Here is a 27,750-nt window from a genome sequence, read left to right on the forward strand (position 1 = left end):
GCTGTGAGATCTTTCTTTCTTTCTTTCTTTTTTTTTTTGAGACGGAGTCTTGCTCTTGTTCCAGGCTGGAGTGCAGTGGCGTGATCTCGGCTCACTGCAGCCTCTGCCTCCCGGGTTCAAGCGATTCTCCTACCTCAGCCTTCTGAGTTGCTGGGACTACAGATGCACACCACCACACCCAGGTAATTTTTGTATTTTTAGTAGAGGTGGGGTTTCACCGTGTTGGCCAGGATGGTCTCGATCTCTTGACCTCATGATCTGCTTGCCTCGGCCTCCCAGAATGGTGGGATTACAGACATGAGCCACCACGCCTGGCCAATCTTTCTAACTTTTTATGTGGCTATTTAGTGCTATGAATTTCCCTCTTAACACTGCCTTAGCTGTATCCCAGAAATTCTAATATGTTGTATCTTTGCCCTCATTAGTTTAAAAGAACTTCTTAATTTCTGCCTTAATTTCATTTTTTACCCAAAAGTCATTCAGAAGCATGTTAATTTTCATGTAATCACATGGTTTTGGGTGATTTTCTTAGTCTTGACTTCTATTATTATTGCATGGTGGTCCGTGAGTGTGTTTGTTATGATTTATGTTATTTTGCATTTGCTGAGGATATTTTATGTCCAATTATGTGGTCGCTTTTAGAGCATTTGCTGTGTGGTGATGAGAAGAATGTATATTTTATTGGTTTTGGATGGAGAGTTCTGTAGAGGTCCATCAGATCCATTTGGTCCAGTGTTGAGTTCAGGTCCTAAATATCTTCGTTAATTTTCTGCCTCAATGATTTGTCTAATACTGTTGGTGGAATGTTGAAGTTTCACAGTATTATTTTGTGGGAATCTATGTCTCTTTGTAGGTCTCTAAGAACTTGCTGTATGAATCTGGGTGCTCCTGTGTTGAGTGCATATATATTTAGGATGGTTAGGTCTTTTATTCAATTGAAGTCTTTACCGTTATGAAATGCCCTTTTTTGTCTTTTTTTTATCTTTTGTTTTGTTTGAATTCTGTTTTGTCTGAAATTGGGATTGCAACCCCTGTTTTTTTCTGATTTCCATTTGCTTGGTAGATATTCCTGTATCCCTTTATTTATTTAATTATTTTTTATTTATCTATTTTATTATACTTTAGGTTCTAGGGTACATGTGTACAACATGCAGGTTTGTTACATATGTATACATGTGTCATGTTGGTGTGCTGCACCCATTAACTCATCATTTACATTAGGTATATCTCCTAGTGCTATCCCTCCTCCATCCCCTGACCCCACGACAGGCCCTGGTGTGTGATATTCCCCACCCTGTGTCCAAGTGTTCTCACTGTTCAGTTCCCACCTATGAGTGAGAACATGCAGTGTTTTGTTTTCTGGCCTTGCGATAGTTTGCTCAGAATGATGGTTTCTAGCTTCATCCATGTCCCTACGAAGGACATGAACTCTTCCTTTTTTATGGCTGCAAAGTATTCCATGGTGTACATGTGCCACATTTTCTTAATCCAGTCTATCATTGATGGACATTTGGGTTGGTTCCAAGTCTTTGCTATTGTGAATAGTGCCGCAGTAAACACACGTGTGCATATGTCTTTATAGCAGCATGATTTATAATCCTTTGGATATATACCCAGTAATGGGATTGCTGGGTCAAATGGTATTTCTAGTTCTAGATCCTTGAGGAGTCACCACACTGTCTTTCACAATGGTTGAACTAGTTTACAGTCCCACCAACAGTGTAAAATTGTTCTTATTTCTCCACATCCTCTCCAGCACCTGTTGTTTCCTGACTTTTTAATGATCGCCATTCTAACTGGTGTGAGATGGTATCTCATTGTGGTTTTGATTTGTATTTCTCTGATGGCCAGTGATGATGAGCATTTTTTCATGTGTCTTTTGGCTGCATAAATGTCTTCTTTTGAGAAGTGTCTGTTCATATCCTTTGCCCACTTTTTGATGGGGTTGTTTGATTTTTTTTCTTGTAAATTTGTTTGAGTTCATTGTAGATTCTGGATATTAGCCCTTTGTCAGATGTGTGTTCCTTTATTTTGAGCCTATGGTTGTCATTACGAGACCCATTAAGAAATGGGTCTCTTGAAGACAGCATACCATTGGGTCTTGCTTTTTTATCCAGCTTGCCACCTGTGCCTTTGAAGTGGGACATGTAGTCCATTTACATTAAATGTTTGTATTGATATGTGTACATTTGATCCTGTCATTGTGTTGTTAGCTGGTTATTCTGCTGGCTTGTTTGTGTGGTTGCTTTATATTGTCACTGATCCGTGTATTTAAGTGTCTTTTTGTATTAGCTGGTAGCAGTCTTTCCTTTCTATATATAATGCTCCTTTCAAGATCTCTTGTAAGGCAGGCTGGTGGTAATTAACTTCCTCAACATTTTCTTATCTGAAAAGGATCATATTTCTCCTTCACTTAGGAAGCTTAGTTTGGCTGGATGTGAAATTCTTGATTGAAGGTTTCTTTAATAAATATTGAATATAGGCCCCTAATCTTTTCTGGATTGTAAAGTTTCAGCTGAGTGATCTGCTGTTAGCCTGATGGGGTTCCCTTTGTAGGTGACATGTCCTTTCTCTCTAGCTGCCTTTAACATACTTTCTTCCATTTTGACCTTTGAAAATCTGTTGATTATGTGTCTTGGGGATGATCTTCTTACGTAGAATCTTGCAAGAGTTCTCTGTATTTCCTGAATTTAACTGTTGGCCTCTCTCACAAGATTAGGAAAGTTTTCATGGATGATATTCTGAAATATGTTTTCCAAGTTGTTTGCTTTTTCCCCTTCGCTTTCAGGGATAAAAGTGAATAATCCCATACTTCTTGGAGGTTTTGTTCATTGCATTGTAGGAATGGACAAAAAAGTAGGTCTACTTTTATTCTTTTTGCTTTATTTTTGTCTGACTGTCTTATTTCAGAGAGCCAGTCTTTAAGTTCTGAGATTCTTTCTTCAGCTTGGTTTATTCTGCTGTTAATACTTGTGATTGGATTGTGAAATTCTTGTATTGTGTTATTCAGCCCTGTCAGATGCGTTACGTTCTTTTTTATACTGGCTATTTCCTCCTTCAGCTCCTTTATCATTTGGTTGTGATTCTTAGTTTTCTTGGATTGGGTTTGAGTCTTGATGATCTTTATTCCTGTCCATATTTTGAACTTTATTTCCGTCATTTCAGCCAGCTCAGCCTGGTTGACAACTCTTGTTGGAGGGCTGATGTGGTTGTTTGGAGAACATGCGTCACTCTGGTCATTTGAGTTATTGGAGTTCTTGCTTTGGTTCTTTCTCATCTCTGCATATGGCTGTTACTTTAACCTCAGTGTAGATCGAGTAGTCAGTAGTCTATTGAGAAGTCAATAGACTTCTTTTCTTGTGTTTTCACAGGGCCAAGCCTTTGTGCAGGGTCTTGATGTGAAGCTGACTTCTTGTCTTTAGTTTAAGAGGAGGGTATATTAGCAAGCTATTTCTGGTGTTGAAGCTTTGGGGTGTGATGCGGTAGGTGACATTTAGGCATATTAATCAGCTGGTAGACTCTTGCTTGGTTTTGTGGCTCCCTTATATTTCCTTACAGGTGGAGCCATGTTCCCTCTTAATGTGTGGGGTCCTCTCCCCTTTGAGTGCTGGCTGTAGATTGCAGCTTGGCACTCCTGGGCCTGCCCAGTGCAGTTCTGGATGTGCTCAGTGTTTATGTTCCTTCCCCATCTTGGAGACAGCAGAGAAAGGGACCTTAGTAGTGTTTGTGCCAAGGGTCTTTTGCTTGTCTCATGGGGGCTCCACTCCAGAGACGTGCAGGTCTGCAATCACCCAGTGCAATCAGCCCAGGATGGAGGGCCTGTGCTGTGGCCCCAGCCAGGGGTTCTCTGTCTGGTGATGAGCACTGGGGGTGGGTAGGTGGAACCCATGGGAGATGGACTGGTCTCCTCCCCTTGGCTCAACTGCAGCTTGTTGGAGGTATGGATAAGGCATTGAGGGTCTTTGCTCCTTCATTAGTCTGAGGGTAGCAAGGGCAGTTCTGCTGCAGAGGCAGTGGCAGGGAGGCTTTCAGTTGCCCCTGGTTGCTCTGTCCAGGGAGTTGCAGAGCTGCTACTGGTTTGATATATCTGGCAGGGGGTGGCTGGAGGCCCAGGCCTGGCGGACCTGCCCAGTGAGGAGATAATATGGGAACATGCACCTACATAACAGGCTGGCCACTTTTCCATAGGGCTGCTGTGGTATCCTGGGGGCCCACTCCAGTCCCTAGTCACCTTGGATTTTCCAGTACCTGGAGGTATCAACAGTGAAGACTGTGAAACAGCAAAGATGGTAGTCTGCTCCTTCCTCTGGGAGCTCTGTGCCAGCAAGGTATGGACCTGTTGCTTGCCCAAACACACCTGTAGTTGGTGGCTGGAGACCCCACATTTCTCTAATATATGTCAAGTTTACTGCATGGTGCCTAGGTCTGGGAAATGGGAAGTTGATGAGACATAACCCTGGTCCTCAAGAACTCTCTTTGTAGTGGGGGGAGCTAAGATGTCCATAAAGGACTCAATGACAAGGTGAAAGAGAGGAGTAGCCTGAGAGCTGTATTACCTAAGTTCAGAGAAGTTTGAGAAAAGATAGAGTTGATACTGGCTTTAAATGATTTGGGTAAATGGAGATGTGCAGCTTACAGAGAGTAGTAGATGTAAATGGTTAGGTGCTGGAAAGTATAACTATGTTTGGGGAATGGTGTTAGTGGTATGATTGGTATGGTTTAATGTCTATGAATAAGAATAGCAGAAGATCAAATTGTCAAAGTAAGTATTACCAAGCTTATGAGTTTGAATTTTAGTGTGTGTGCTGGTGGTTTCTAAACTTTTGATTGTGTCCCCTCAGTTAAAATATTACCCCTGCCCACAGATGTAGGCAATATAAAATGGGGGTTTTAAAAAGGAGAAAAATAGAAATACATATTAGTAATTTCTTTCCCCACCTCAGTAGTTCCTCTTGCACATATCCAGTTTAGAATCATTGTCAGCTACTGGTGTTATTGTTGGAGATGTGTTTTAGCAATAGGGATATGAAACATCTTCATGTTTTTCTCCATATGTATATGTATGTACAGAAAAATTACACATTATATATACACACATAATTTTATTTTAGAAAAACAAAGCTATTGGCAATATTCATGGAATAGTATTGGATAAAAGTTATTTTCTTGTTTTAGTGAAATATTTTAGGTTTTTGATAGAACTGGTTTCATTCATTACAGAAGTCAGTATTGTATATGAAAGTTTTTTGAAAATTCCAAAGTGCTGTGTATATTAGGTGTTTCTTTGAAGGGATAGTTCAGGTGAAGAATTTTTTTTTTTTTTTTTTTTTTTTGGAGATCCAGTCTCGCTCTGTTGCCCAGGCTGGAGTGCAGTGGCGCGAACTCGGCTCACTGCAAGCTCTGCCTCCCGGGTTCACACCATTCTCCTGCCTCAGCCTCCCTAGTAGCTGGGACTACAGGCGCCTGCCATCACACCCGGCTAATTTTTTTTTTTGTATTTTTTAGTAGAGACGGGGTTTCACCATGTTAGCCAGGATGGTCTCAATCTCCTGACCTCATGGTGCATCTGCCATGGCCTCCCAAAATGCTGAGATTAAAGATGTAAGCCACCGCGCCTGGCCCATGTGAAGAATATTTTAAGAAGTTTTGGATTTTCCTTTTATTTCTCTCTATAGTGCTTTGCACAGTTCTGTGTTTCATAATTATGGAAAATATTGGCAAGAATTTTAATGATTCTCTCATTTCAAGTTTTCTTTGTTTTCTAGTTGCCAGTAAATTTTATCATATAGAAATAATTTTTAGAGGAGGAAAGCATTTTAGAGTTTGTGTAGTAATTATTTGTGTGCTATCTTGCCCTCTTCCTTGGCAAGTAGACTATAAAAAACTGTAGGCTTATAGATATTGTCTTAGTTTGGGCTGCTGTAACAAATTATCACAGACTGGGCAACATCAACAACAGACTTTTGTCATCATTTTGGAGGCTGGTGGGGGCCTGCTTCCTGGTTTGCAGATGGCTGTCTTCTCATTGTATCTTCAAATGGTTGAGAGCAGAGAAAGAAGCAGCAAACTCTCATGACCTTATTACCTCTCAAAGGCCAATGGATATATTTGCTTGTTCTATTATTCATGGTAGTACTTAGCAAAGTGTTTTCTAAGAGGCTGTCTATAAAACTTACCAAGCAGGCCTCTTCATTTTGCCCATGAACGTCTAGCCTCAGAAAGGTTGAGCGGCCTGCAAGAACTCACATTGCTCATTAGTGAAAGACCTGGGTCTTTTGCTATATGTCTCTCGAAACTCAAGTTCATTGCCTGTTCTACTATAGTTTGTTGCCTCTCCTGCTTTCTCTGATTTACCCTCAAGCAGGTGTTTCCATTGCATATTTTAAATACTTCAGCAGCTCCAGGGTACAGATTGTGTTATATTCAACTTAGTGATCTCTGATACCCAGCACAATGCCTTATGGAGTAGATGCTCAGGATCTGATGAATTACCTTGTGAGAGCTGCATGTTTGCATACTCTTGATTTGTTGAGAAAACTAAAGTAACTTGGGGTTGCACCTCAGTGTACTGTTTATAAAAGCAAAGATTAAACTGTATACCTGATAATATGTGTGAAGTGCTGTACATGCAGAATATTTCTGAAATCCCAATTGCAAATGTTTATGAACTCGGAAAACTCCTGAAGAACTGTTGCAGTTGGCTGCAGTAGTTCAAGCTGTTATTCACTGGACAGTTTTTCTCTGCAGTATGTAAGATGTGAATTTTATATTTTGCTTCAAAATTTATGATGCAGCATAAACCAGGTTTAAAGTCTAGCTACCTTGCAAGGAGCAGCTTCCTTCTTCATGGTTGAACTCTCCAGAGTAATCCTTGGGTTGCTATTTTTGTGGTCACCTTTGTGGATTTTTTTCTCTTTCCTCATTCATGGAAAAGATCAGACCCCCTATACTTTTTATAATAAACTCTAATTTTCCAGATCATTTATCATACTTAAGAATTATAATTACCCATTTTAAAAGCTTCAGCCTAGATTGGCTAGAAAATACTTAATATTTTTATACATTATTTATCCTTTTTTTTTTCACTGAGCTGTGTTGCTTTCATTGACACCTGAATGCACTGAAACACAGATTTTATCCCTATGCCTACTTGTGATGAGAAAGTATCAGCAGATTCAGTTGCTAGGAAACAGCTGAATACTGAAATAGTTTTTTTTTTTGGTGGGGAGGGGTACTTGTAAATTCAGTTCTTTGACACGTCTACTCTCATACAGCAAAAATTTCTTCGGTCACTACAAAGAAAGATGCATCACCTGTTAGTTTTCCAATTTAGAAATTTTGCACAGGGGAGCTGGGCATATGTAAATGTTACAGGGTTGATAAAGTGCTGAGAGTGTAATTTTTAACAGTGACTGGACATTGTAAAGTAATGATTATGTATATGCCTTTGAGTTTCAGTTTTCTCAAAATTTTCTGATTCATCATTAATGAGAGAAAGAGCAAGAACAAGAGAGAAACATATGCAAACACATACACATGACACATAGGAATTTAAACCAAAGTAAAATACTGTATTAATTAAACTAACTTTCTCATAGTAATAGGATTGGCCACATCCTATATTAAATTACCCAGCTCTGGATTTTTACCTGTGATGCTTAATAATTATGTGCCAGAGCAAGAATAAATGTTAAAAAGAAGTGTGTGGTTTAACTTTCTTTTATAACTGATTGCCATTTATTTTTGTCATAGTAGTATAACCTTTAAGTAACTTTTCCTGAGTAGCCACTATGTGCCAGGCAAAAACATGGGAGACATAGGTATGTTTAAGCTTTCAGGGTGCCTAGTATGTGTGAGAGGTGGCAGCCAACAGATTAAATTGAGAACATATATGAGAAATTTAATTGTGTCTGGTACACAGTATATGCTTATTAAAAAATTAGAAACCTGCCTTCATCATCAGTACCACCATCATCATCATCACCCAGCAAGCCAATTCTTCAACTAAAATCAGTTCAGAGTAAGCAGGGAGACATATAAACAGTCATCATATGTGTGGTCAATAAAAAGAGAAGTCTGTACCAGGTAAAGAGGCAGCACAGAAAATAGAGTGATGGACTTGTCTGGGGATTGCAGAGAGAGCTTCAGAGACGTCAGGTCTGAGCTGGATTTTGCAAGGCTCTCTCTTAGATGTAAGCATTCCCTTGACCTTGTCTTTTTTAGGGAGTAGGGAGTGGGGAGTAAGACCACTGCTTTTTTTTTCCTTCTTAAATTTTTTAAGTTCTCTCATTTCTTCCTTGTCCATACCCTTGCTGATAATGAGGCTTGACATCTATCTTCCTGCCTGCTCCATTCAGACAGATGAGTACCGTCCATGGTTTCTAATTCTGTACCTTCAATTTTCACTGCTTGTCTGTTTAATTGCACATATACGTTTAGGAATTTGTCAAGGAGTACAGAATCCATCTTCTGATTTACATGCATTGAGAGTCTTGTGTCTCAGAAATGAAAATCTTAATAAGGCTTTTCCATCTTTATCCGAGTGACAGAGAGAACCCTGTGAACTTAAGTAGGCAGTATATATACTAAAATTGGAGTGGTGCAGAAAATGTTACCCAACAAGTTCTAGGAGAGTAATGTGTAAGTTCAAATAAAAAATAAAAACAAAAAATGAAAATCGTCTGAGACTAGTTGATTGGAAATAACCAAGGAATGAGAGAATTGAGAATAACAAGCTTGGTTTCCCTTAAAATTTTAAAGGGGTACTAAGAGTAGAAGGAAATGTTTTATGAGACTCTTGCTGTTTTGTATAAAATCTTATTTTTAATAATTTTATATTTTTCATGCCTACATTTTAAAAGAGAGACCTAACATACAGTTATGAGACTTCAGAAATATCATGGAAAGTACTTATGCTCTGGTTGCGGTTGTCCCTTGTGGCACTATGATTTTGTTCATGTATAAGATTGTATTTGTTGAGTTGCAAAACAGCCAGGTGAACAGTGTCATTGAGTTTACTAAATTGAGGTGTGAATAAGGTAATGATCTAGAAAACAGATAACTGAACCTGGAAAAAGATATAGAAGACAGATTACTTGCTTATAAATTTGAAACAAAAGAATGGTAAACAAGATTGGTAACCCGAATGTTATCTTCTTTAACTGTGTCATCAAAAACTCCACAGTTATAACATTGACTATTAAAGGCTAAAATAATGGAAAGGAAATGAAATAATGTTCAATCTTTGAGGAAAAAATGAATATACCTTTTTGGATTTTGGCGGGGCAACTATAATCTCAAAGAAAGAGAATAACAATTTGCATTTATAATCTTTTCTTCTAAGTAGCTTAAAGTTTTGTAAGTATATTTTCATTAATCCTTTGGACTATATTTGAATTTTGTTCAAAATATTAAGAAGGAAATAATCTGTACTTCTTGTAGATGGCTGAAAAAATGACATACTGAAAGTCACAGATTTTTTTTTTCACTTAAATGGCTTCATTGTTTTATGTTTCCAGTGTGGGTTTTTTTTTTGTGTGTGTGTGAAAGCAAGTTTATTAGGAAAGTAAAGGAATAAAGAATGGCTACTTTATAGGCTGAGCAGCCTCCACTGTTATTTTTTAGCACTTTGCCTAAGGAATTTATTTATCCTTCAAATACGTATCATTTGCATATTGCGGGTTAGGCCTGAGGCGGTACACAGTGGCACACCCACATGGGGTGAAGAGCAGGGAGAAAAAGAGAATTTGAAACTGTGTATTTTCTCCTTCAATTTCATGTGGCATTAAATCATTCTTTTGAGGTCAAGAGCCTCTGAACTGATTAGTTAAAGAATTGGCTTGCTGGATGATGATGGTGGTGGTAGTGGTGGTGAAGGCAGGTTTCTAATTTTTTAATAAGCACATACTGTGTACCAGACACAATTAGATGTATTATATGTGTTCTCAATTTAACCCTGTTGGCAACGTTATGAGATGGTTATTTGCATGAATTTTGCAGAGAGGGAAACTTGGGAAGGTTGGGTAACTTATCCAAGGTCACAGAATTCTAAGCCAATGTACCTGTATCTGTAATTTTTATGCTCGTGATCTTTAATGATGTTACTCTCCCCCTTTGTGGGAAGCAGGCACAAATATTCCTTTTTTTTCCCCACTTTGGATACGTGTTGGTGAGCATAAATGTGCCAATCATTGTGATATGGCTTCGATGAGTGGAAGAACACCAGGGCTCTTGTCTCATGCCCAATTAGATAAGATGACATGGGTGCATGTGGAGTGGTTTTAAGGAGCGGAGAGTTTAATAGGCAAGACAGAAGGGAGAAGAAAGAAGCAAGAAGCGCCCCTTTACAGAGCCAGAGGGAGAGGGGGCTCCAAAGCTGAGAGAAGAGACCCCCAGTGTGGTGGAAACCTGCCAGGTATATGAAGAGGCTGGAGGAGACGGTGTCTGATTTGCATATGGCTCAGGTGATTGGTTTGACCAGGCATGTCATTCACATAGCCACCCACATAATAAATGCATAATAAATGCCATGAGAAAGTAGATTTGTTGGGGGAGTAAATTGACAAATCAGAAGATTTTATTGTGCTTTTGTACAATAAATAGCCTTTAGCATTTAATTTCCTCCCTCCACCCCTGGCCCTGGGCAAACACTCATCTGTTTCTGTCATGATAATTTTGTTTGTTTTAGAATTCCGTGTAAATTGAATCATACACTATGTATTCTTCTGCATTTGGCTTTTGTTGATCTGCATTGTGCTTTCGACATTCATCTATGTTGTTGTTGTTTTTAGAGGTAGGGTCTTACTCTGTCACCCAAACTGGAATGCTGTGGTGAAATCATAGCTCATTGCAACCTTGATCTCCTGGCTCATGGGACCTTCCTGCCTCAACCTCCCAAGTAGCTAGGATTATAGGTGCATACCAGTACACCTGGCTAATTTGTAAAATTTTTTGTAGAGACAGGGTCTCGCTGTGTTTCCCAGACTGGTCTCAAACTCCTCCCATCTCAGCCTCATCTATGTTGTTTCATGTATTGGTAATTCATTCTTCTATTCTTTTATTTTTTTAATTTAAAACATTTTTTCCATTCTTTTTAATTGTTAGGTAGTATTCCATTGTATGAATATACCACAATTTGTTTATCTAGTCCCCAATTCAAATGTCCACTTGATGGACATTTAGATTGTTTCCAGTTCTTGGCTATTATGAATAAAACTGCTGTGAATATTTGGATAAATACTTTTTTTTTTTTTCGAGATGGAGTCTCGCTCTGTCGCCCAGGCTGGAGTACACTAGCACGATCTTGGCTCACTGCAAGCTCTGCCTCTCGGGTTCACGCCATTCTTCTGCCTCGGCCTCCCAAGTAGCTGGGACTACAGGTGCCCACCACCGCACCGGCTAATTTTTTTGTATTTTTAGTAGAGGCAGGGTTTCACCGTGTTAGCCAGGATGGTCTCAATCTCCTGACCTCGTGATCGCCCTCCTTGGCCTCCCAAAGTGCTGGGATTACAGGTGTGAGCCACTGCTCCTGGCCTGGATAAATACTTTTAAGGAGGATTGCTGGGCTGACCAATAAATATGTTTAAAGTATGTTTAACTTTATGAGAAATTGCCAAACTATTTCCAAAGTGGATAGATATGTTCATCTCCAGTAGTGTATGTGTTCCAGTTATTCTACCACCTTGCCAAAAGTTGATATTGTCAGTTTTAAATTTTAATCATTCTAATGGATGTATGATGATATCTCATTGTGCTTTTAATTTCCATATCTTGAATATGTGTGTGTGTTGCAAATATTTTGTCCCAGTCTGTGGTTTGCCTTTTGTTTTAACAATGTCTTTTGAAGAGCAACAAAGTTTTACAATTTGATTCAGTCTATTTTATCAGTTTCTTTCTTTTATGGTTTACTTTTATTAAGAAGTATTCAACTGACCCAAGAGCATGAAGAATTTTTCCTGTATTATCTTTTTGAAATTTTATAGTTTTAGCTCTTGTATTTAACTCTATGACCCATGTTTTGGTTAGGTTTTAGACATGTTGATTTTTTTTTCCTTGTTGGTTTCCTTGTTGGTTTTGGCACTATTAGTAGAAAAGACTGGGCCGGGCCAGTGGCTCACGCCTGTAATCCCAGCACTTTGGGAGCCCCAGGTGGGTGGATCACATGAGGTCAGGAGTTTGAGACCAGCCTGGTCAACATGGTGAAACCCTGTCTAAAATACTAAAAAATACAAAAAATTAACCGGCTGTGGTGGCGGGTACCTGTAATCCCAGCTACTCAGGAGGCTGAGGCAGGAGAATTGCTTGAATCTGGGAGGCAGAGGTTGCAGTGAGCTGAGATTGCACCACTGCACTTCAGCACTCCAGCCTGGGTGACAGAGTGAAACGCCATCTCAAAAAAAAAAAAAAAAAAGAAAGAAAGAAAGAAAAGAAAAGACTTTTCTTTTTCATTGGATTCCCCATTTTTCACCTTGTAAAGAATAATTTGATCATGGGTATGTTTCTGTACTTTTTTCTGTTCCATTGATATAAATGTCTGTCCTTGTAACAGTATCACTCTGTCTTGATTATTGTAGCTTTATAATAAGTTTTGAAATTAGGTAGAGTCAGTGTTTCAATTTTGATCTTTTTCCAAAAATTGTTTTGGCTCTTCTAGGTCTTGTAACTATGCTAAACTTATTAATTTTAGTAGCCTCTTGGTAGATTATTTGGTATATTCTACATAGATGTCTATGTTGTCTGTGAATATAGTTTTATTTTTTTTCTTTCCAACTGTATGCCTTTTATTTATTTTTCTTGCCAATTACCCTGGCTAGGACCTCTGCTACGATGTTTAATAGAAGTGATGAGAGTGTGCATTCTTGTCTTGTTCCTGAACTTAAGGATAGATACATTTAGTCTGTCACTATTAAGTGTGATATTACCTATTGGTTTTTCATAGATGGCCTTTTATCAGGTTAAGGAAGCTTCTTTCTGTTTCTCGTTTGCTTTTTTTTTTTGGTTATCAATGTGATATAGCTTGGATATTTGTCCCTGTCCAAATCTCATGTTGAAATATAATCCCCAAAGCTGGAGATGGGGCCTGGTGGGAGGTGTTTGGATCATGCGGGCAGATCTCTCATGGTTGGTGATGTCTTCATGGTAATGAGTTCTCCTGAGATCTGGTCATTTAAAAGTGTGTGGCACCTATCCCCCCAACTCTCTCTCTCTTGCTCCTGCTCTCACCATGTGAAGTACCTGCTCCTGCTTGACCTTCCTCCATCAGTAAAAGCTCCCTGAGGCCTCCCCAGATGCAGATGTCGCTATGCTTCTTGTATAGCCTGCAGAACTGTGATCCAATTAAACCTCTTTTCTTATAAATTACCCAGTCTTGCCTAGGCCTAGTAGCTTACGCCTATAATCCTCGCACTTTGGGAGGCTGAGGTAGGTGGATTGCTTGAGCCCAGGAGTTTGAGACTAGTCTGGGCAACATGGTGAAACCTTGTCTCTATAAAAAGTATGATTAATGAATGTGGTGGTGCAGGCCAGTAGGCACAGCTACTTGGGAGGATCACCTGAGCCTGGAGACGTCGAGGTTGCAGTGAGCTGTGATTGCACCACTGCACTGCAGCCTGGGCCACAGAGTGAGGCCTTGACCATTTATTCATCTACTGGGTTGACAATATTGTTTAAATTTTTTAAAATCTGTGAATGTGTACTTGATTACATTGATTAAAACAATATTAAGTCAATTTTGCATTCCTGGGATAAACCTACTATGTCAAGGTATATTACCTTTTTTTATATATTACTGAATTTTTGCTTTACTGCCAATGAGGGATGTTGATCTAGACTTTTCCTTTCATGTAAGGGCTATCTGATTTTGGTATCAGGTAATGCTGACCTTGTTAATGAGTTGGGAAGTATATTCCTTCTTAAGTATGCAATTTATATAGCAGCATAGTATAAATAATACAATTTAATAATGTAATATATAGAGTTGTTTAAATTGCCAACATTTTTCTCTATTTTAAAGTTTTGTCTAAAATAGATCTTAACTAGGTTTGTCTTATAAGCTGGTTTAATATTTTATAATTAAAATATTTTTAATATTAAGATTTTTTGAGAACATAGGGAAAAAGCTCTGTGGTTTTAACAAATATATAAGTATGCTAATTTTAAAACACTAAGCCTTTTTGTAGAAAATTTGGAGAGTACAAGACTGCATGAAGACAAAATCATTATGTAGATTTTATTGTTGAGATAATATGGAATTTAACATTTGGAACTCATTTTCTTAACATGCACAAGCATTTTCTCAATATTTTAATTTTTATTAACAGCATGCTTATGACTGTGTAATCTATCACATGGATTTAGAATATTTGTCTATAATATAAGTATATTTGTTTTATTTATCTAATTATTGATATTAGACTTTTACCCTGTTAGCAATTTTCTACAATCACATATAATGCTGTGATGAGCACTTCCTATGTAAGCCTCTGTTTTTATTTACGATTTGTTTCTTTAGGTAGATTTATAAATTAAATTATTGGGTCAGAGGGTCGAAATGTCTTGAAGCTCTTGATACATTTATGGAACGGCTTTTATCTATACTACTTCAGTTTGTACTTCTCCACATGATATACGAGAAGAGCTGGTTCAACTCTTCAATTATTCAGGATTTTACAGTTAAATATCTTGGCTAACATGATGGGTAAAAGTAGTAACTTATTGCATTAATTTTCATTTCTTTAGTTACTTGGGAAATAATTTTTTAATTTTCTTGAAAAGTTTTAGACAAGTCACCCAGAAGAGTTATGCAACAGAAATATTAAGAGGAAATAAATATATGGGAAAACAAGTTCCTGTAATAAAAGAAACAGAAATGGAAAAACAAAGGCATAAGGCTATATAAAATCTGTATGCCATGAAGAAAGAGAAAGTAGTTTTAGTTTGTATTAAATAATTTCATTACGTTACTGGGAAATGGATAGAGTGATATAGAGTATAAGAACCATAGTCTTATCTTCTCCTTTCTTCGAAATGTACTAACACTTCATAAGCTTAATAAAAGAACCTCAATGCTTGTAAGTTAGTTTTTTGTGGCTTCTATCATTGTTGAAAGTTTCTGGGGAGTAGCTACCTGTTAACTAAAAATAGGTATCTGGAGCATGGCAAAAGAGACCACTTCAGCCTTGCAACTATGATATTGATCCACTCAAAAGCAGTAATTTGAAAGAAGTGAAAGAAAATAGCGGTGAAGCTCAAACTATGTGAAGGTAGAAAATTTGGTCTTTACAGTAAATTTGATAGTTGTCTAACAGAAACTTAGGGGAGAAGGAAAAAATGGAGGGGAATAAATTTGAATTGAAGTGTATTTTGATGGATAAAAGAAAATGTGAATTTTTAAATATAAACTTGGTATATAACTTTTCCATAGTAGGTAAGTTTATTTATAACCTATTTGTTTCCCTAAAACATCAAGGCAGCTTATAATAAAATCCATTGACCGAAATATGTATTCCAATATCAAATGGCAAATTCCAACAATACAAAAACTGCAATTATGTTTGCACCAACCTGATAGTAAAAGAAATAGAAAATTAGAACTAATGGACAACTCATAACTCTTGAATATCAGCATGGATGCTGTGCTTGGGCTTCACATTTGGTCATAAACATCCAGGGAGTAAAGATGAAAAGGAAGCTACTCATTTACATAGAAAGGAGGGGCTGTAGCAAATTCTGAAATATGAGACTTAAGAACGTAAGTAACTTGCTGTATTAGTTAAAATTTTACTGGAGGATATATGAATTAACATTAAAAAATCATCAAAGTGTCAAATATTCCAATATATTAATACTGTTGTAAAACATTATAGTAGACATGTGATTTGACTGTGTATCTTGGGATTTATGTATTTATCTCATCTATGCAGTATTCAGTGAGAAGCTACTATACACTTAGCATTCTTACCAGGGCTTTGAAGAGTACAGATGCTTTAACTAGTCCCACATTAAAATTTAAGTGTTAGACAAGAAGGCAAATAAACAGCAGGAAATGCTTAAAGGTAAAGTTAGGGGTACTTGCTATGACTACATTGATGTGGACTAGGCAGAATACTTCATTTAGTTAAGGGGGAAACAAGCGTTTGGTTAAGTGGGGAATAAGTCATGGTATAGGAAGAAGTTCTGTTGAGATCTGCTGTGGGAAGGATTGAGGTGCACCTGAGCTTTTTCTTTTGAATTCAGTTCAGAGCCCAAATAATATCATAATATAGAATGTTAAGAGATCCCTTTTGATATCTTCTTCAAAGGATGCACAAATGATACTTATTTGAAGAACATGAATATTTCTATGACAGTTGAGAAACATAGATCCATCTTGGTATCCCTAATGCTTACCATACTGCTTTGCATATTATACTGGTTCTATAAGTGTTTATTGAATGAACTACTTAAAAGAGAAAATGGGAGAGAGGTGTTCTCAATTTGTAAGGATAAATATTAAGTATAAAATAGAAACCTTTAAACCTGTAAAGAAAGGATTTAGTGATGAGAGTTGTTTATTTTTCTAATGTAATTATGGTGACAACTTGTTAATATTGTTTTCACTGGAATCTTATTAATCTTAGGAATTTTTATGTACTTACAAAATAATTCCATATATGAATCTTTTGTTACTAACCTGGTAAAGAAACACAGATTTTGAATAGCTAGATGGTAGTAGCGGATGAAACATTGCTTCTTAATTATCAGAGTTCTTTGATTGCCTTGTTTATTGCCTATCAGCCTGCTGGACTGTTATGTATTGGATATTTCTGACACAGCTAAAATTACTTTGCCTTTCTTTATGATATATATAAATTTTATAGCCTTTATGCCTTTGTTCTTTTATTTCTGTTTCTTTTACCTCAGGAACTTATTTTCCCATATATTTATTTCCCCTTAATACTTGTGTTGCATAACTTCTCTAAAAGTCTTGAAGAGACTGAAGAAGTATTTTTCAAGTAATTAAAGAAATGGAAATTAAAAGCAACTTGTTATTTGTAGAATATGTAAACAAATGTTTCTGAAGTGCTTTCTACATATGAGGTATAGACTAGAAGTGGTTTAAGGCAGGATTTTTGATGTAAGTGACTTATATACTCTTCTACTTGACATGAACAAATAAACAGATAATTTGTATAGCATTAAAAAAATCACTGAATATCCAAGAGCTATGTCAGTTCAGAGAAGGATGGACTAGCTATAATTTGTTAAACACTAAAAGCAACACTAATTAATCTTTAAAACAAAGATAGATGTTTTATTTACTTATTCAGTCACCTTTTACTTGTTAAAGTAAGAAAAGGAATTACAGGCCTACATCAAAGATATTGCAGGTTCTGTTCGAGACTAATAGAGTGAATATTGCAATAAGGCATGCCATATAAATTTTTGTTTCCCAGTGCATGTAAAACTTATGTTTACAATATACTGTAGTCTATTAAGAATGCAATACCATCTTTTAAAAAACAATGTACATACCTTAATTTAAAAGTGCTTTATTGCTAAAAAATGCTAATGATCATCTATCTGAGTCTTCAGTGAGTTGTAATCTTTTTGCTGGTGGAGGGTCTTGCCTCAATGTTGATGTCCGCTGACTAATCAGAGTGGTGATTGCTGAAGGTTGGAGTGTCTGTGGCAATATCTTAAAATAAGACAACCATTCAGTGTGCTGCATTATTTCAAAAGAATGAGAGTCTGTCCTCTCAAAGCATTCTACTACTTGATAAACTAAGTTTATATAATAATCTAACTTCTTTGTTGTCATTTCAACAATGTTCATAGCATCTTCACCAGGAGTAGAGTCTATCTCAAGAAACTACTTTCTTTGCTCATCCATGGGAAACAACTCCACATCCTTTAAAGTTTCATCACCAGATTGCAGCTGTTTAGTCCCATCTTCAGGCTCCACTTCTAATTCGAGTTCTCTTGTGATTTCCACCACATTTGCAGTGAACTTCCTCCATTGAAGACTTGAACCCCTCAAAGTCAACCATGAGAGTTGGAATCAACTTCTGTATCCCTGTTAATGTTGATATTTCCTCTCCCGTGAATCACAAATGTTCTTAATGGCATCTAGATTGGTGAATCGTTTCAGAAGGTTTTCCACTTACTTTGCTCAGATCCATCAGAGGAATCGCTATCTATAGTAGCTCTAGTCTTACAAAATGTATTTCTTAAATAATAAGATGTGAAAGTTAAAATATTCCTGATCCATGGGCAGCAGAATGGATATTGTGTTAGCAGATATGAAGACACTAATCTCCTTGTACATCTCTATCAGAGCTCTTCAGTGACCAGGTGCATTGCCAACAAGCAGTAATATTTTGAAAGGAAACTTGTTCTGAGCAGTGGGTCTCAACAGTGGGCTTAAAATATTCAGTAAACTATGCTGTAAACGCATGTGCTATTATTTAGACATTATTGTTCCATTTCTAGAGCACAAGCAGAGTGGATTTGGCCTAATTCTTAAGGGCCCTAGGATTTTCAGAATGGTAAATGAGCTTTGGCTTCCACTTAAAGTCACCAGCTGCATTAGCCCCTAACAAGGGAATGAGCCTGTCCTTTGAAGCTTTGAAGCCAGGCTTTGACTTCTCTCTAGCTATGAAAGTCCTATATGGCATCTTCTTCCAGTATTAGGCAGTTTCATCTACATTAAAAAGCTGTTGTTTAGTGTAGCCACCTAAACAACAGCTTTTTCATGATCTTAGCTAGATATTCTGGATAACTTGCTGCAGCTTCTGAAGCTCTTGCTGCTTCACCTTGTACTTTTATGTTATAGAGATGGCTGCTCTCCTTAAACCTCATGGACCCATCTCTGCTAGCCTCCAACTTTTCTTCTGCAGCTTCCCCACCTTTCTCAGCCTTTATAGAATTGAAGAGAGTTAGGGGCTTGGTCTGGATTAGGCTTAAGTTTAATGGAATGTTGTGGTCCATCCAGACCATTAAAACTTTCTTTATATTGGTAATATGGCTGCTTCACTTCACTTTCTTCTTTTTTTCTTTTTTTTTTTTGAGACAGAGTCTTGCTCTGTCACTCAGGCTGGAGTGCAATGGCGCATTTTCAGCTCATTGCAGTCTCCGCCTCCTGGGTTCAAGCAATTCTCCTGCCTCAGCCTCCCGAGTAGCTGGGATTACAGGCATGCACCACCATACCCGGCTAATTTTTGTATTTTTAGCAGAGACGGGGTTTCACCATGTTGGTCAGGCTAGCCTCGAACTCCTGACCTCAGGTGATCCACCTGCCTCAGCCTCCCAAAGTGCTGGGATTACAGGCGTGAGCCAGCATGCCTGGCCTTCACTTTCATATCATTTATGTGTTAACTGGATTAGCACTTTGAATTTCCTTCAGGAACTTTTCCTTTGCATTTACGACTTTGCTCACTGTATGGCACATGAGGCCTAGCTTTCAACCTATCTCCATTTTTGATATACCTTTCTCACTAAGCTTAGTCACTTCTAGCATTTGATTTAAAGTGAGAGAGGTGAGAATCTTCCTTTCACGTCAATACTTAAAGGCCATTGTGAGTTACTAATTTCAATATTATTGTTTCTCAGAGAATAGGGAAGCTCTAAGGAGAGGAGAGAGACAAAGGAATGGCTGGTTGGGGAAATAGCCACAAGACACACAATATTTCCTGATGAAGCTCATCTTATAGGGGCATAGTTGATGGTGCCCCAAAACAATTACATTAGTAACATCAGAGATCACTGATCATAGATCACCATAACAGATAAAATAATAATGAAAAAGTTTGAGTTATTGCAAGAATTACCAAAATGTGACGCAGAAACACGAAGTGAGCACATGCTATTGGAAAAATGCAGCCCATTGTCTATCTCAATGCAGGGTTGCCACAGACCTTCAAATTGTGTTCAGTTTTAACACAATTTGAAGTGCAGTAAAGTGAAGTATGGTGAAATGAGGTATGCTTGCATGCATTTCTCTTCTTTTGGCAAGTATATGTGCAGCCATCTAGATCCTCGCTAATCAATTAGAGCACAAAGATTATAAATCATTATTTTAACAGGAATATATCCTAATTGCAAATATGTGAATACTTATAGCCAGAAGGTTGCTTTAACGCAGCTCTGAGGAAAATTGTATTGTAAAATAAATGCTTTAAAAAATGCCTCAACAAACAAGGGAGAATAGGAGGTACTTATAAAGAAGAAGGCTTAAAAATGGCCATGTAAAAATGCTATGATAGTAAGAGTAAATGGAGAAAATAGGCAGAGGACCACAAAATGTAGGGGAGATTTTAGGGAGGAAACGCAAATAGAACAAAGTTTATTTTGGTCAAAAGGAAGTTTTAAAAAAAGAATCCTAGAGCCGAATTAAAAAGATATAGGATGAATAAAGATTAAGCTTAGAAGTAGTAATGGGATAAGGTAATGTTTCCTATGTGTGTGGTTTTTTTTTTTTTTTTTTTTTTTTTTTTTTTTTTAACAGATTCTCACTCTGTTGCCAGGCTGGAGTGCAGTGGCATAATCTCGGCTCACTACAACCTCTGCCTCCCGGGTTCAAGCGATTCTCCTGCCTCAGCCTTCCGAGTAGCTGGGACTACAGGCGCGTGCCACCACGCCCAGCTAATTTTTTTTTGATATTTTTAGTATAGATGGGGTTTCACCATGTTGGCCAGGATGGTCTTGATCTCTTGACCTCGTGATCCACCCGCCTCGGCCTCCCAAAGTGCTGGGATTACAAGCATGAACCACTGTGCCCGGCCTGTTTCCTATATTTTTATATTCTTATTAATTCATTAAATATTTCACGATTGCCTCCTCAGTCCACAGTCTCTATAGAGGGACTTAGGAAATAGCTTTCATGTTTTACTTTTGTCATGCCAGTTAGAAACTAGATTAATTATCTGCTTGCCAAACCTGATTATCTTTTGTATTGCTACTCACATTTCATTGTGTAAAAGGGGTGAGGCTGATGGACAAATTGTAGGTCTCCTTTTTTCTAGGAATGTACTTTAGAATACTGAGATTTAATTATTTTGGGGTACATTTTCCATAGTGCTTTCTGTATTTACTTTTACTTTATTGAGTTGTTCAGAGAATTAAATATTTGATGTGAATTTTATATGCATGTGTGATTGTAGTGGTGATGGTACAAGGGGAACTTTGGTGTAGAAGAATTTGTTAGGATGCTCTTGCAATATTCATGTAAGAAGTTATGAAGACCCAGACTGGAATGGTGACAGTGAGGATAGGAGGGAGGGACGAGTGTGAGAGATGTGCCCTAGGATCTTGGTGGCCATTGATGGGGAATGACTGGTTCTGGAGAATGGGGTGGTTAGACTACGGGGAGTTGCCATCCATATCCTAGAATTCAAAGGGTATGTTGAACTTAGGGTTATTCTAGGTTGGTTTTGGTGTCCAATAGGGTTCACTTTGGTGTATGTGATACAGTGACAAAAGTTTCTTGTTATTTCCAATTTATAAAGCCTGTAATGGCATTGAGGAGGTTTTTGGTGGTCTGTACTGTGTGGAGGAGGAACCAGCTATGACAAAGGGAGGGAGTATTTACTGGTCTTAGGAACAAGGTGTGGTTTCCTAGGGCATAGTGGCTGGCATCATGCAGGCAGGGAATTTGGGCTCCAGCCAAATACTCTGAGCTAGAGACTGGGTCCAGTTCCAGCAATTCTGTTAATATATATTTACCAGACTCTGGTATGATTTTGTATGAATTTATTATAGGATTGGAGATGAGGGCAGGAGGGAGGGGTAGTATGTAGTAGTGGTTGCATTCATATTTAACCCTCGGTTTTTGAATAAAGTCTTACATTTGGGAATTTTTTTTTAATAAATAAAATGTCTTGCTAATGTAAGTGTTACTCCCACCAATATAGAAGACAGCACTCAAATTCTCATTCTCTTTTGTAACCAGATCATAAGCATATGACTTATACTTCGTTGATTAGACTCACCTCTCACAGGACTTTGATTTGGAACTGAGGAAACAGAACAGGACTTTGATTTGGAACTGAGGAAACAGAATCTTCATCGAGCTTTTGTGTTTGGTGGTGGCAGTGGTGGATGTGAGCAGAGACTTTCTGCCTTTGGTGGCAGCAGTGTCTTTTTGGTGGTTGCTAGATTGATTTCCCACAGTGGGAGTGGTTTTCTTTAGTACTCTGTGGGATGCTAAACAGCAGTGATGGCCATTTTCTATTAATAATTAGTCCTGTTTTAGAACTAATTAGTTCCTCTTTTGAGCCTGGAAGCTTAACTTTAAGAATAGTTTTTTGGCCAGGCACAGTGGCTCGTGCCTGTAATCTCAGCACTTTGGGAGGCCAAGGCGGGTAGATCACGAGGTCAGGGGTTCAAGACCAATGTGACCAACGTGGTGAAACCCTGTCTCTACTAAAAATACAAAAATTAGCTGGGTGTGGTGGCGTGCACCTGTAATCCCAGCTACTCAGGAGGCTGAGGCAGGAGAATCCCTTGAACCCAGAAGGCGGAGGTTGCGGTGAGCTGAGATTGCACCATTGCACTCCAGCCTGGGTGACAGAGGGAGACTCCATCTCAAAAAAAAAGAATAATATTTCATCTTCCCAACAATTCTGTGAGCTTCCTAGTAGCCTTTTAATAAACTCATTTTCTGCTAGTCAGCTTCTTCCATGTTCAGCTAACAATCTTAGCTGGTCCTGGGTTGATTAGAAGATAAGGCAGCAAAATGAAGACAGAGGCTTTTTGATATCTGCCAGGATGGCTAAGAATTGATCCAAAATCCATGGGGACTTGGTATCAGATTGTATTTTGGGGTGAATTGGAGGAGGAAGGAAAATAACTATGTTGATAGTAGGTCTGTTTGGATGTTGGAGGGTATGGAACAATGATTTTAGTTTTGGACATGTTTACTTTGAGATGCCATAGAAATATTCACTTGTGGAGATATCTGGCATGTAATTGGAAATGTAATTCTAGCATTCAGAAAAGAGATCAGGGATAGTAGTGACAGTTATTCAAGGTTGCATTGAAATTGGATTAGAGTACTAAGGGTAGCAGCATGAAATGGGGAGAAAGGAGAGGCTTTTCACAATTACAGGGCAGATGGTGGAAGGAGACAGTGAAGAAATCTGAAAACGAATCTTCTAGAAGGATGGAAGAGCACTCAGAGAAGCTCAAAGATGGTAGACCAAGGAGCAGATAGTCAGGAGTATGAAGACTGAGAAGAGGCCATTGTATTTAGTGATTTTCAAGAAAGTCATAGAAAATAGAACAAAACCTTACAGTGGTGAATAAAGGACTAAAGTAATATCTGGAACAAAAGAGATTAAATAAAATTTGAGTCAAAAATTTTATTAGACATATTTAGAGCCCAAATCACAAAATAAAGTTTGAAACCAGAGACACAACCCCTATCTTTTTCCTTAACAGATTTTTATCAGGCTAGTTGTTAAGTTTGTCTATTTGAGTAATGGCACTGATATATCAAATTCTTTTGTTTTAATGAAGCAACAGCTCTCTAGTATGCAAAACTTGGGAAAATATTTTGCTTTACAATTTTAGTGTTCATTAAGCCTTATTATGTAAGCTGTAAGCAAATGTTAGAGAATTTTAAATGTTTGTGACATCTGTGTTTTTATTGTGAATGTGAGTTTTCTTTTGTAAGTATTACAATGATCATTGTTAACAGTTTGACCTTGCTTTACATTTTTGCCAGACTATTCAGTGATAGCTATTTGCATGCTGTCTTTCCTTTTATTTCAGCTTTCCATCCCACTTCCTCTTATGTTGCCAAATGAGAAGCTTGACTATTGGTGGTTAGAGTCTCTGCCACTCAAGATTTTCATTTTTCTGTATTTTGAAGTACTGTCTTTGTATGCTTTTCTTTTCTCCATTCAAAGAGCAGTCTCTTTACATTTGATATTCTGATAGAATTTATCTGCTGAAAATCAAAGTCTGTGCTCCTTGAATTCTGGCTTCAAAATAATCATCTAGAATAGATGTAAGATACTAGAACCAGATGAAAGATTCAAAAGATGTCAGTCTTAATTTATAAGTTTATTATCTACAAGACTGGATCTTGACTGTACCAGTCTTAAAAATATATCTTGCATTATAATTTGAGCTATGACATTTCATCAAACGTACAGTTTAAATTTATAGAACTCTTTTTTTTGCATTAATTTATGTAGTCAAATAGAAGACATTAAATTCAAAAGTATTTCTTTTCTTTCTTTTTTTTTTTTTTGAGATGGAGTCTCTCTCAGTCGCCCAGGCTGGAATGCAATGGTGTGATCTCGGCTCACTGCAACCTCTGCCTCCTGGATCAAGTAATTCTCCCACCTCAGCCTCCCAAGTAGCTGGGATTACAGGCACCCACTTTTTGTATTTTTGTAGAGACAAAGTTTCACCATGTTGGCCGGGCTGGTCTTGAACTCCTGACCTCAGGTGATCCTCCCGCCTTGGCCTCCCAAAGTGCTGGGATTACAGGTGTGAGCCATCATGCTCAGCTGAAAATATTTCTTAAAGATTTATATTTTCTGTCATTATTTTATGCAGTGCTTTAAAATTAATTGCTATTAACTTTTAATTAATGGAATATGATGACCTGAGTATTATTACATATCACAGAACTTTAATGTAAAGATACATCAATGAAATTTAGAATTTTACTTAGATACCAAGTTAATATACCAAAAATCCATTTAGACTAATTTTATTAAAACAAATGTATCAGAATTTCAGTGGCAATAATACTGTTTACATTTTTTTGATGGAATTCTTTTTTTTTTACATGGTATGGCTAGTATACAAATGATAGGGTTTTATGCTAAACAGGTTTTTTTTCCCCACATGCAGCAGAACTCTGCTTACATTATGACCTTTCAGAATAAATTGGCAAGCAGGTCAGATACCAAGAGCTAAGAAAGGATGGAAACAAATGTAGTATTTTGCAGGTGAATTTTTGAGATGCCCCATTTACTTGAAATTTTAAATAATGGAGGTAAAAGACTTTAGTTGAAGTTTGAATGTCTCAGAATGATGAATAAGGAGTTTGTCAGGTATTATATTTTCAGTGTTAGTGCAGAGTAATTCCTTGTAACACAAATGGCTGATTTTTGTAATATGTACACACAAGCTTAGTATGGTATGATAATAAGACAACAAAAACCTAGTAGCCTTTGCTTTTTTTCACTTTGCAGTTGACTTGGTAGCCTATCGGAAAGTCTGTTTTCATTTCTTCATTAGTATTATACCTTGGTGTTTTTCTAATAATTTATGGTAGTTTTTTTCTTTAATCAGAGAAGTTCCAGATGTAGGAACATGTTTTCATAGACGTTTGCATGCTTTCACATAGTTCCTTTAATTTTCCATTATTCTTCAAAGAAGCATATATATAATTTTCATTTGGGGCCAGTGTACTGTGGTTGACAACATATAAAATTAATCAGAGTCAAGCAGTTGAAGGTTAACATGAAAGAAATCTAGAAGAACCCAGTGCAAAATATAAGACAACACAAACTTTACATTAGACCCTATTGCTCTGAATGGATTGGAGGGATGGCGACCTTGCCAGTTGGAGTGACATGAGTGCAGTGGATGAGCTGTGGCAAAGTCAGGAAGCTTGGGAGCAGCAGAATTAGCGAAATGTTAGTAGTTGCTAGGTAATAGGGTTTATGTTAAAGATCGGAGACTAAGACGTGGTCATTGTTAAATCCCCTTGAGGAATTTATGGTGAAGTAGCCAATTAAACTTGGTATGTGCAAAGCCAAGGGAAGCTTCATGTTGCCTTAGTAAACATCTCTAATTGAATACTAAAGGATCCCGTGCTGCCTGGTGGGTATATCCCCTAGAGTAGTACTCACTGTGATTAAGGGTACATTGTTTCAGTAACTGATCCCTTGAGGCAGTGAATTGCCCAGTCAGTGCAGGAGTTTTAAGGGTCCAGGTCTAAAGGTGGAATTGCATCTTTTGGCTCTGTTTGAAGCTCCTTCTTGTGTGCCTGCACAGGAGTGCAGTGGGTACATACCTGTGAGCACATGTACCCTATTTCTTGGAATGACATTCTTGCTTTTAATTTTGGGCTGACTAGAAATTTTTGTCTGTGATGCCAGTGGTGGGTAGATAGGTAAGGATGGGCACAGTTTAGCCAGCGTGGATTGTGAAAAAGTACATTTATTTCAGGAAATTGTAAGAAAAACAAAACTGGGACCTAATTTAAACATCAGGCACTCCGAGAAAGTAGAGATTCTTTTTCTGTTTTTTCAGTGTTAGCTGTCTGGAGCTTAACTGAGAGATCAAGATAAGTTCAGTTCTTCTTTGTCACATCCACATCTTACAGTACTTGAAGCAATGTACTTTATTAACAAAAAGATAGTACATTTCTAGCCAAAGTAGAGGATTTAGGGAAAAGTTCTTTTAAATTTTATCCAGGGAGAGATTAAACAACATTGAGAGCCTGGGCAAAGAAAAGCAACTAGATTTTACATATTTAGTTAATTATATAAGAACAGATGGAAAAGATATGAGCAAATGCCTGACTCCACAAGATAACATGAGTAAGTGCTAAAATAAAGGTATTTAAACTTGTCTAGTAGTTGGTAAACAGCGTATCAAGAATGGAGATCTTTGCAACAGCTTCATAAAAAGACTTTATCAAATTTGGGAAACTCTTATATTAAGGAGATTACCATTAAATCAAAGCAATGCCTTAAAAACACAATACTGGTCTGTAATTTAAGGAGGATCATATTTATATAAGAAGAATACATTAAAAAGACATTGAGTTGGATAATTTAAATGGAAGAAATTAGAATGTGCATTTTTGACATCAGTTATTCCACCTGAAGCTAGAAATATTTTTTGATCAGCAAAGTCATTGCAAATAAGTTATATTAGTCTTAATGTAATTTGCATAATTTGAGACAACTAAAATATATTATTAAATGAACTAATAACTGTCACTTTAGAGCTTTTATATATATGCAAATAAATACTGTTCAACTAAAGTAACTCAAGAAAAACCTTGCTAGTGTTCCCTTAAGTGTAGGATAGAGGAATACCAAATGAATGAATAAATGAATAAATAAACATGTATACACATATATTTTATCTTGGTTAAATAGATAACTGTGAAATATTATACTTAGGAATAGCTTTGACTTTTCAAGTTTTTCTCACTTAAAATATGTTCTGTGTCTATCTAGTTTTTATTATGCAGCGTGTATTTAAATTATATTTTCATTTCTTTTCCTTTTTGAACAAATAATTAGGATTTATTTGATTTAGATTCTAAACACATTTTTTAATGGAATTATTATTATTATTTTTGAGAGGGAGTCTCGCTCTGTCGCCCAGGCTGGAGTGCAGTGGCGCGATCTTGGCTCACTGCAACCTCCACCTCCTGGGTTCAGCCTCCCAAGTAACTGGGACTACAGGCGCACATCACACCCAGCTAATTTTTGTATTTTTAGTAGAGATGGGGTTTCACCATGTTGGCCAGGATGGTCTCGATCTCTTGACCTTGTGATCTGCCCACCTTGGCCTCCTAAAGTGCTGGGATTACAGGCGTGAGCCACCACACCCTGCCAATGGAATTATTTTAAATTATTCATAGTATGGTCTAATTTATAACAACATTAGATATTTGAAATATTACTCAAAGATTAGAAATCTCCACCAAGCATAGGAAACATTTGGTCAACATAATTTTAATGGCCTTTTTAGAGACTGTAGTAATAATCCTCAGAAGCCAGAAATTATTAA

General features: G+C 37.4%; 1 protein-coding gene across 7 annotated transcripts in view, besides 2 other annotated features; it reads left to right on the plus strand.

Annotated features, from left to right (window-relative positions):
* PRIM2 (DNA primase subunit 2) overlaps positions 1 to 27,750 on the plus strand; it is a 425,311-nt gene that overhangs the window by 176,401 nt on the left and 221,160 nt on the right. Inside the window, exon 8 of one of the 7 annotated variants that reach the window (XM_047418992.1) lies at positions 65 to 10,321. The exons of the other annotated variants lie outside the window; for them this stretch is intronic. Coding sequence (XP_047274948.1) covers positions 65 to 301 — 237 coding nt within the window. The 3' untranslated portion in view covers positions 302 to 10,321. Of the gene's footprint in view, positions 1 to 64; positions 10,322 to 27,750 lie in introns of those variants that run through there. 7 annotated transcript variants of the gene reach the window in all.
* Positions 25,338 to 25,872: an enhancer, noted in NCBI's record as "OCT4-NANOG-H3K27ac hESC enhancer chr6:57288076-57288610 (GRCh37/hg19 assembly coordinates)". NCBI's record gives its function as "activates a minimal SCP1, AML or CMV promoter by ChIP-STARR-seq in naive and primed H9 embryonic stem cells {active_cell/tissue: H9 hESC(naive and primed)}" and the evidence as "EXISTENCE:reporter gene assay evidence [ECO:0000049][PMID:30033119]".
* Positions 25,873 to 26,406: an enhancer, noted in NCBI's record as "OCT4-NANOG-H3K27ac hESC enhancer chr6:57288611-57289144 (GRCh37/hg19 assembly coordinates)". NCBI's record gives its function as "activates a minimal SCP1, AML or CMV promoter by ChIP-STARR-seq in naive and primed H9 embryonic stem cells {active_cell/tissue: H9 hESC(naive and primed)}" and the evidence as "EXISTENCE:reporter gene assay evidence [ECO:0000049][PMID:30033119]".

This window comes from Homo sapiens, chromosome 6 (assembly GCF_000001405.40).
Source record: "Homo sapiens chromosome 6, GRCh38.p14 Primary Assembly".
Taxonomy (NCBI): domain Eukaryota; kingdom Metazoa; phylum Chordata; class Mammalia; order Primates; family Hominidae; genus Homo; species Homo sapiens.